We start from the raw sequence: 10,556 nt of genomic DNA on the forward strand, positions 1-10,556 counted from the left end.
TAAAAGAAGTGGAACCGGAGCCAGATGTATAAAGGTGGAAAGGATTTGGGTGTGCATGTAAGACAAGAGAGGGCATTCGAGGCAGGAGAGCGATGTGAACAAAGGTACAAAGGAGGGAAGAGCATGATGCGACTAGACTACATGTCTAGAATGGAGCTGTGGGTGGAGGTGAGTAGTGAGAAATAAAACATGAGACCAAATTATTTAGAACTCACAAACTAGATGGGAATTTGTCACTGCAGAGATAAGGAATAAAGAGCCTCTGTAAGGTTGAAGACCATTTAATAAAAGTTAATTAATTCAGCAGTGCTATTAGAGCAGATGTAGTTGAGTCATATAGGTGTGTGATAAGGTCCAGTGGGGTGGGCAGATGGTTGGGTCCTGGCATTTTGTAGGGTTGGATGAGTCATGTCATATCTAAGACCCTTGTTTCTTTTTTTTTTTTTTTTTTAATTTGAGACAGAGTCTCACTCTCACTCAGGCTGGACTGCAGTGGCGTGATCTTGGCTCACTGCAACCTCCGCCTCCTGGGTTCAAGCGATTCTCCTGCCTCAGCCTCCCGAGTAGCTGGACTACAGGTGTGAACCACCACACCTGGCTAATTTTTGTATTTTTAGTAGAGACAGGATTTCACGATGTTGGCCAGGCTGGTCTCAAACTCTTGACCTCAAATGACCCACCCACTGTGGCCTCTCAAAGTGCTGGGATTACAGGTGTGAGCCACTGCACCCGGCCATAGACCTCTGTTCTCATTTGTCAAGTAAGGAAAGTAGGTCAAGTCATTCATTCTCAAATTTTAAGCATGGTAATCTGTTTCATTAAATGACAACTTAGCTAAAAGCCCAGTATATAGAGCAGGTACTCTGCTACTCTGGAGCTACTCTGATAGCCAGCAATAGGGCATCTGAAATCCAGCCCTATAGGACTCTGTGATGCCTCTGGCAAACTCTTGAGGCTGCACAGAGAACTATTTGGAAACCATTGTTTTCAATGAAGTCTCAGCTGTCAGTTGCTATGACTGATTACTGATTAGATATGTGTGAAAGGCAAGTAAGGACATGTAAACCAATACTTGAAACATGTTGAACCTAGAAAGAAATTTGAAATAAGGAAGGAGGAGCCAGTCTTTATTGAGAACCTAGTATGTGTTTGGTGCTCTCACCTCTGTTCTTTAATTTAATCCTTACAATATTCCCATGAGTCGAGTCTTTTCATCCTTATTTTGCAGATGAGGAAACCAAGACCCTTACAGGTTAACTGGCTAAGATCATCAGCTTGCAGTGACAGAACCGGAGGTGGATCCAGTTCTGTCTGCCTCCAAAGCTTATGCTGTTTACATTATGTGATGCAGAGTAGTCTTGACATTAGAAAAAAGGGGACTATTGGGAAAGGGAATTGCTCCAGTTAGGGGGAATTACAAGTTTGAACTATGAGCCATCCCGAATGTAAACATCCCAGTACAAACAGCTCAGAATATGGCACCAGAGCCATGGTCACAAAGATTTAGGATCTGTCAACACAGAGGCAGTCAATGAAGTATTGAGAGTAAACAGAGAGAAATGGTCACAGATCACATAGAAGTACCAAACCATGCATAGAGCAAGAAGACAGTGCAGAGAAGATGAGCAAGGTGACAGAAAAGGCTTTGGATTTTGGACAGGGGAATGGTAATTGGTGATAAGAGCAGTAAAGAAGAAAGTGCTGAAAGAACGAAACAGTGAGTGTAGATCATATGTTGGACAGGGACAGACAATGGACGGTGACTATGAAGGATGGCGACTATGAAGGATGGCAGTATCAAGGGAAGGTGTTTCCCTGTTAGATTGTGGTGTCTGCAGAATGTTTGAAAGCAGAGGCAAGGCTCGAGCATGATTCCACCTTGTGACAAAGTGACACAAAGAATTAGCAAGGATTTACTAAGCACTGGTCTTGTTGTATTAGTATAGTTATAACATTTATACAGCTATGTTTTTAATAAAATTAAATGGCTTCCATGTCTCAAAATGTGGTAGAGAAAAATGACTTTGTAGCCAGTAGAGTCCAGTCTCGGTGATTGTACCTGGAGTCCAGGAAAGAAGCCCTAAGCACCTAAGCAGTTGTGTGATTTGTTTGTTTGCTTGTTTTTTGTTTTTTTGAGACGGAGTCTCGCTCTGTCGCCCAGACTGGAGTGCAGTGGCGCGATCTTGGCTCACTGCAAGCTCCACCTCCTGGGTTCACGCCATTCTCCTGCCTCAGCCTCCTGAGTAGCTGGGACTACAGGCACTCGCCCCATGCTCGGCTAATTTTGTTTTTGTACTTTTAGTAGAGACGGTTTCACCGTGTTAGTCAGGATGGTCTTGAACTCCTGACCTCATGATCCGCCTACCTTGGCCTCCCAAAGTGCTGGGATTACAGGCATGAGCCACCGCGCCTAGCCCAGTTGTGTGATTTTGTAGATATCATCTCTTCTAGGTGGAAAGAGATGTGCCTCTGCTTCATGCAATTTTTCATCTATCATTTGGCAGGGGGCAGAATTTGTTTCCTTCTGTTTCAAGGTTGGAGTTTAAGAACTGTATAAGTTCAGGTGCAAATGTGCTATATAAATTCAAGTTTAGGATTAGTGTGGTAAACTTGCTAAGAACTTCTTTTTCCCATCCGTAGGAAGCAGAACATCAGAGAGCCATGCAGAGACGTGCTATCCGTGATGCCAAAACACCTGACAAGATGAAAAAGTCAAAATCTGTAAAGGAAGACAGCAACCTCACTCTTCAAGAGAAGAAAGAGAAGATCCAGACAGGTTTAAAGAAGCTAACAGAGCTTGGAACCGTGGACCCAAAGAACAAATACCAGGAACTGATCAACGACATTGCCAGGGTACTGCATTCGGGGGACAGAGGGGACCCGGCCTTGTTCAAAGCTGAGAGGCTCGAGAGACAGTAGCTGTTCACATAACAGCATAGCTTCAGTTCATGGGCAAATTAGTGCCCTCCTCTATGAGAAACCATATCTGACTCTCCAGCATGAGGGCCTTGCCCGACCTGAGGTGGCTTATTCCATGGCCTAAATTACTAGGGAGAGGACCTTAACTGGAGCCTCCTATGACCTTAAAGAATTTGTCTTCAGCCTTAAAGAATTCTTCCAGATCTTTTTCATGATTACTGTGAAATATAAATTCACATCAAGCTGATTAAATCGTTGATTTGTATGAATCATCTCAAGCGAGGGGCTTTGGTGAGGACTAAGAGTTTAGGTGTTCTGTGCTGTTGCACTAAGATAATATTATGCACACCTGAGAACTGGTAGTTGATGTATTATAGTTCTCTTTTTCTCCCTTTCCCAACAAAATATTTAAGAGGTCCAAACCAGCTTTGCAAGTAAATTCTAAAAATGTGTAAGTCTAAATGTAACACATTTCCCTGCTAGAAGATACAAATGGGGGAAGAAAATTTGAGATCTGAATTTCTCTGTTAATTTGTGAAAACAAATTACTGCCTGTTGAATGTATGGTTAGGTCAGGCACCGTGGCTCACATCTGGAATCTCAGCACTTTCTGAGACCAAGGCAGGAGGATCGCTTGAGACCCCATCTCTACAAAAAAAAGTTTTTTAATTAGCCAGATGTGGTGGCATGTGCCTGTAAGTCCTGGCTACTCTGGAGGCTGAGGTGGGAGGATCATTTTAGCCTGGGAGGCTGAGGCTACAGGAAGCCGTCAACCACTGCACACTCGAGCCTGGGCAACAGAGTGTCTAAAAAAAAAAAAAAAAAAAAAAGTAGGTAGTCATATTTAAGGCAGAGTTAAGCATTGCTGGGTTGTAGTGTGAAATGATAATGATAACTGTCGTTATTTTTCTAACTTTAATAATTATGTCTCAGGATATTCGGAATCAGCGGAGGTACCGACAGAGGAGAAAGGCCGAACTAGTGAAACTGCAACAGACATACGCTGCTCTGAACTCTAAGGCCACCTTTTATGGGGAGCAGGTGGATTACTATAAAAGCTATATCAAAACCTGCTTGGATAACTTAGCCAGCAAGGGCAAGTGAGTATTTTTTCTTTTTAAAGAATCAATGTCAGAATTAGAGTGAGGAAAAAGCAGAGGCAACTGAAATGACACTGGAAATTTTTACTTAAAATACACTGGATCTATTTATTGCATTAGTCTTTTATTTTACCTCTAATCATTTGTGTAATTGCCTAATTCCATTTGTAAGTGTATGATGTGAATAGTGGGTGGGGGATTTCATGGATGCTTATCGCTAAGTATTCCTTTTGCAAAATATCTTCTTGGGGCCTGTCAAGGTGGCTCACACCTATCATCCCAGCACTTTGGGAGGCCGAGGCGGGTGTGTCACTTGATGTCAGGAGTTCAAGACCAGCCTGGTCAACATGGTGATACCCCATCTCTACTAAAAATATACAAATTAGCTGGGTGTGGTGGCACGCACCTATAGTCCCAGCTACTTGGGAGGCTGAGGCAGGAGAATTACCTGAACCTGGGAGATGGAGGTTGCAGTGAGCCACGATTGCATCACTACACTCCAGCCTGGGCGACAGAACAAGACTCTGGAAAAAAAAAAAAATCTTCTTGGCCTTAGAAATTAAAATCATGAAAGGAGATCATCTGCTGGTCCCAGAATCACTTAAGGAATATTATACAAATTTGGGTCCCCTTGCTCCTCTCTATACTTCCTGGGGACAAGATCACAGGCTCTGATTTTTTTTCCTGGGTGCTGAGGAAAGTCTGATCCAGCCTTCTTGGCACTGGCCACAAACTATCAGCATGCCCATGTTACAGGGAGGGAATTGAAAACCCAGAGAGGTGGGTGATAAGAGCAGGTTTTACTTGCAGGGTAGTTTATTATTTATTCCTAACTTTTTATTTTAAGAGTTTTCAAATCTCAGATCGAATGAATAGAACAATAAGCACCCATGTGCCCTTCACCTAGATTCACCCATTTTTAATATTTTGCCATATCTGCTTCCCATTTCCCTGGCTCTTGCATGTCCTCTGTTTCTCTCTTTCCATGGAAGACTCTCTGGGGTCAGGCATGGGTGATGGAAGGGATGAAAAACAGGCCCACCTAACCCTGCTTGCAGATCTGACTCCTGTGAGCTTTTGATGTGTTTTCATTGTTCCTTGTGCACTTCCTGACTTTCTGACACAAGATGTTTCATGTTCAACCTGTAGTTTCCCCTCCCCAGGGCCAGAATGAACTGTTTCTCCAAGCATGCCTGGTTTCTTTGAATGAAGAATGGTATTTAGAAACCAAGATCTAGAACTAGGTGTGTTCACTGCCAGATTTGTCATGGCCTCCAGGCCTTCTAAGCAGACAGACCTAGATTCTCATTTTTTTTTAATGCTGCATATTATTCCATTATGCAGATAGATATAACAGTTGACTTCAGCAGTTCTCCATTGATGGACATTTAAGTTGTTTCCAGTTGTTTGTTATTATTTTTTAAATTCTGCAGCAAATAACCTCTTGTACATATGTCATTTTGCAAATGTGGGCATATTTCTGAAGTTAGCACTTCTTGCCTTGATTATCCTAATAGCCTCCTAACCTGTTTCTTTTTCCTTATTTTCATTCATCTGTAATTGCTGTGCTGGCTTAAACGCTTTTAAAAAGTATTTGATGACATTTTAATTTTTTCCCTACACAGCTGAGGGGCGTAGAGTAACTCCTTCACTCCTGGGATTCAGTACCATTCCCTCAGCTGGCATACGAAGCTCTCCTAGTTACTTGTTAGGTACTTAAGTTCCCAGAAGGACATGGGAGGATTAAGACACTGTTAAATTCATGGGAGTGTTCTCAAATATAATTTAAACTAAAAATAGAAGCAATTTAGTAATATTTCCCCTGTTTTGCAGAGATATTGCTTAGGCTAATTCTAACATTTGTTTGCCATTTTAGAGTTGGTATGTTACTTATGCTTATGTCTGGAAGTTTGGTTTCTGACATGTTTCCTTCAGTTACCAATGATGAAGATTCAGAGTAGATGGTTACTTATAGAAAGTGACATGATGTGATTTTTACAGAGTCTCCAAAAAGCCTAGGGAAATGAAAGGAAAGAAAAGCAAAAAGATTTCTCTGAAATATACAGCAGCAAGACTACATGAAAAAGGAGTTCTTCTGGAAATTGAGGACCTGCAAGTGAATCAGTGAGTCTTTGCTTTTTGTTTTATAAGTTGATTTTTATTTCTACATTTATCACATCTTTGCCTTTTTGTCTTCATTTCTCTTTTCTGGATGGTTACTTTTAGTATTTTTTATGTATTTATATATTTTTATGTGTAGAATTAGGCCTCATACTCAGAGTTAATTTGTCATAAAAGAGTTTTTCTTTTCCTTGTTTGTAGAACATTTGTCTCAGGTCATGTTCACTTATTTGGGTCTGATCTTAATTTTTCCTCATTAAAGCAGGAAGCCATTCCTTGGATTTCTTCTGTTTCTGAACCAAGAATAAATTAAGAGTAACAATAAGAGGAGTTTGCTTTATTCCACTTATAGCTAGGAACCAGGCACTTATCTTCATTTGCTTTTCTGGGAAGTATCAGCTTGCTTTGCACGTGGTTCATGGACCTGACATGTCATCCTCCCACAGGTCCTGGGCCCAGCGTCATTAGCAAGCATTTATTGAGCATCTGCTCAGTCAGCCCTGTGACCTCAGGCTACTGATCTTTCTCTTCTTTTGTCTGTTTAGGGGGGGAAAAAAAACAACTTTTAAAAAAAGAACCTTTTACATTTTTCTAATTCTAAAATAATATGTATTCGTTATTAAACTTTGAAAATACAGTAAAGCATAAAAAAGAAAACACCTGTAATTCCACAAGCCAGAGATAACCACTGAAATCGTTTTAATGTATTTTTTTCTATTCACATAAAGATTATACACGACTCACCCACTTATGTATTTAACTACTTTATATATAAATACATATATATATATTTTTTTCTTCTTCTTCTTTTTCTTCTTCTTTTTTTTTTTTCACGGAGTCTCTCTGTCACCCAAGAGTACAGTGGCGCGATCTCAGCTCACTGCAGCCTTGGCCTCCCAGGTTCAAGCAATTCTCCCACCTCAGCCTCCCAATTAGGTGGGACTACAGGCATGCACCACCACACCCAGCTAAGTTTTTGTATTTTTAGTAGAGATGGGGTTTCACCATGTTGGCCAGGCTAATCTCAAACTCCTGACCTCATGTGATTCACCCACCTCAGCCTCCTTTGGGATTACAGGCCTTTATTATTATGTTATTATTATTATTATTATTATTATTTATTATTATAGGTCATTATCTTCCACTACTGTTCAAGTGCCTACCTCTATTTGCCTTTCTGTCTTCTTTTTAATTTGCTCCTATGGGCTTAGAAACTAAATAGCCAACTAAATCTGGTAAAATTATTTATCACTTAAGATAAATATGTTTAAGGAATAACCCGTGAGGCGTTCCAGTTGAATAAGATGCATGTGTGTTTCAGTGCATGGGTTTTTGTGACTTCTTTAACTCTCAGTGACCTTTTTGCATCTTTCATGGTTCTCAGCCCTGTTCGTAATAGGTAAGGCAGCTCCATAGTTGAGTTCTGGAAATCTGGGGTGCTATACTTTGATCATCCAGAGAACAGCATAATCCCTTTTTTTTTTTTTTTTTTTTTTTTTTTTTGAGACGGAGTCTCGCCCTATCACCAGACTGGACTGCAGTGGTGATAGGGTATGGTACTCAGCTCACTACAACCTCTGCCTCCCGGGTTCAATCAATTCTCCTGCCTCAGCCTTCTGAGTAGCTGGGACTGCAGGTGCATGCCACTATGCCCAGCTAATTTTTGTATTTTTAATAGAGATAGGGTTTCACCATGTTGGCCAGGATGGCCTCGATCTGACCTCGTGATCCGCCCGCCTCGGTCTCCCAAAGTGCTGGGATTACAGATGTGAGCCACTGTGCCCGGCTGCATAATACCTTTTCCTTTTGGCCCCCCAAAATTTCCTGGCACGTAACATATTGTGAATGAGTGATAACTTAAATACGTTCAATAATAACAATTTATCTTTGGTAATACTGAGTGTGCTTATATACACAGCACCTACTCTTTCTAGAAAACCTCCTCCCTTGGTGCTTTTTATACGGACCCCCTTTTGTTTATTTACTTCTCCCAGTCCTCAAACATGCATGTATTCAAACACATACACCCTCTCCTTCCCCAGTGTCCTCCGTTTTCTCCTTTTATCATTAGGTTTCCTTTTTGGCCATGTGGAAGTGAAGAGAATTCCTATGATGTCATCCCTTCACACGCCACTTGTGGAACTCCTCAGTGGTTCCTCTTTGATAGGATGTAAGTGCTGCAGGCAGAGAGAGGTTGCCATTCCTCTCTCCAAGTCCCAGAGCAGATGGTACTTGGGCTTGGCAATCTGTGCTGCTTCAGCTGCAGAAGTACTTTTGACCTGTATTTTCTGCAGCCCTTTTCACTCTTGAAGACTTGGTTCATCTCCTTTCCCCATTTCACAGAATATTTTTATATGAGAATATAAAAACCATACCCTTACGATGTTATCTTTCAACAGGTTTAAAAATGTTATATTTGAAATCAGTCCAACAGAAGAAGTTGGAGACTTCGAAGTGAAAGCCAAATTCATGGGAGTTCAAATGGAGACTTTTATGTTACATTATCAGGTGGGTATGCACCAGCAGGAACCAAAAACTTTCTGGATGAGATTCTTGTCCAAGTAGGAGAAATAGATAAAGAGGAGACTCATCTGAGGAAAGCTGTCTACATTCAGCAGTGAGCTAGGCTCCACACTGCGGGGAAAGAAGCTGAGGGTTTCAGCATGTCTGGTTTGGTGTGTGCGCTCTGGAGAGCTTTTGCAGATGTCACTCTTCAGAAAACATTTAGCTGAAGCTTCCACTTAGTGCTGCCACTAAATCGAGCTGACACCTTGGACTTGAACAAAATGCAGAAGTACACATGCTGACACTGCAGAATTCTAAGCCCACTCAGTAGCTTGAAATCTTTTTGTCATTTTGATTTGATATAGGTACTTAAAAGTTAGATACATTCTGACAAGGTGTGTGTAAAGTTTATGTTTGTAAACTGAATTCTATCTTAAATCCAAAAAGAACTCGGGAGTAATTCATTTTTGTAGCATAAAGATCCCTAAGTTTTATTTTGAAATATCTGATTTTTACACGTTAAAAAATAACAGGGCATCGAGAGGATTCCTAGGTGACATCCAGACTCCTTTAGCTTTGTGTGTGTGGCACCGGTTAGTCTGCTTCTCTCTCCTTTCTTGCACTGCTTCACACAGCCATGCCCTGCCAGCCCGGGCAGGTGCCTTCCTGTCAATGTACATTTGGGCTTCTGCTCATGCTGCCCTCCCTCCCCTCCCCTGCCTCCCAACCCCGCCCCTTTTGTTCCTCCATGGAGTACTTCCATGGGTGTGCCTCCCCCAGCCAAGCCATAATAGGTGGTTTCCCCTTCGCTTCTGTAGCCCTTGCAGACATCCTCTGTTTACAGTAGGTGTTGACTTACTTCCCCTCTCCCCGCTAAAGCCATAAACTCCTTAAGGACAGGTAGCATTTCTTAGTCATCTTCGTTTCCTTCTCAATGACCAGTAGACCATTAAAACATGTTAGCTAAACAAATGTGAAATGATTTTGTGATGCACACAGCTAACTAAAGTACTTCCACCAAAAAAAAAAAAAGAATAGGAACCTCTTATTCCCTCAGTTTCACCAAATTATTTTTTTAATTTAAAATTTTTTATTTACGTGGAGTTATCAGAACATATTTTTATTTTTAAATTTTTTAACCAAATCATGTTAGGCCAACCAGTCTGCCTGTGGTAATTTATTAATTTATGTACAAATTCATTAAATGTGGGGTAACTGCCAGGTGTGGGGTATTCTGTTAGGCACAGGTCCCAGCAGCCCTCATGGAGCTGCTAGGATTTTTCCAACAGATAATTGAACTTGTGGGGTCCTTTCTTTTTTTGGAGGGGGGGGCAGAGTCTCGCCCTGTCTCCCAGACTGGAGTGTAGTGGCGTGTTCTCCATTCACTGCAACCTCCACCTCGTGGGTTCAAGTGATTCTCCTGCCTCAGCCTCCTGAGTGGCTGGGATTACAGGCGCACACCATCACGCCCGGCTAATTTTTTTTTTTTTTGAGACAGTTTCGCTCTTATTGCCCAAGCTGCAGTGCAATGGCACAATCTCGGCTCACTGCAACCTCCGCCTCCTGGGTTCAAGTGATTCTCCTGCCTCAGCCTCCTGAGTAGCTGAGAATATAGGCGTGCACCACCACGCCCCAACGCCCAGCTAATTTTTGTATTTTTAGTAGAAACAGGGTTTCGCCATGTTGGCCAGGCTGGTCTCTAACTCGTGACTTCGTGATCCGCCTGCCTCGGCCTCCCAAAGTGCTGGGATGACAGGCGTGAGCCACCACACCCGGCCTTGTGGGGTCCTTTCAAGACTTTTGACCCTTGCTTTCTCATCACCACTCTTATAAAGTTCAGAAGTGAGACCACTCAGATTTCTTAAACTTGTTCAGGACAATGGTGAAAGTAGCAGGAAAAGCGGGAGCATT

The 10,556-nt window shown here is 41.9% G+C and overlaps 1 protein-coding gene across 1 annotated transcript in view; it reads left to right on the plus strand.

Moving 5' to 3' along the window:
- IQGAP1 (IQ motif containing GTPase activating protein 1) overlaps window positions 1-10,556 on the plus strand; it is a 113,998-nt gene that overhangs the window by 100,451 nt on the left and 2,991 nt on the right. Inside the window, exons 34-37 of the mRNA NM_003870.4 lie at window positions 2,641-2,853; window positions 3,853-4,019; window positions 6,021-6,143; window positions 8,540-8,648. Coding sequence (NP_003861.1) covers window positions 2,641-2,853; window positions 3,853-4,019; window positions 6,021-6,143; window positions 8,540-8,648 — 612 coding nt within the window. The remainder of the gene's footprint in view (window positions 1-2,640; window positions 2,854-3,852; window positions 4,020-6,020; window positions 6,144-8,539; window positions 8,649-10,556) is intronic.

The sequence above is a fragment of the Homo sapiens genome, chromosome 15 (genome assembly GCF_000001405.40).
Source record: "Homo sapiens chromosome 15, GRCh38.p14 Primary Assembly".
NCBI classification, from domain to species: domain Eukaryota; kingdom Metazoa; phylum Chordata; class Mammalia; order Primates; family Hominidae; genus Homo; species Homo sapiens.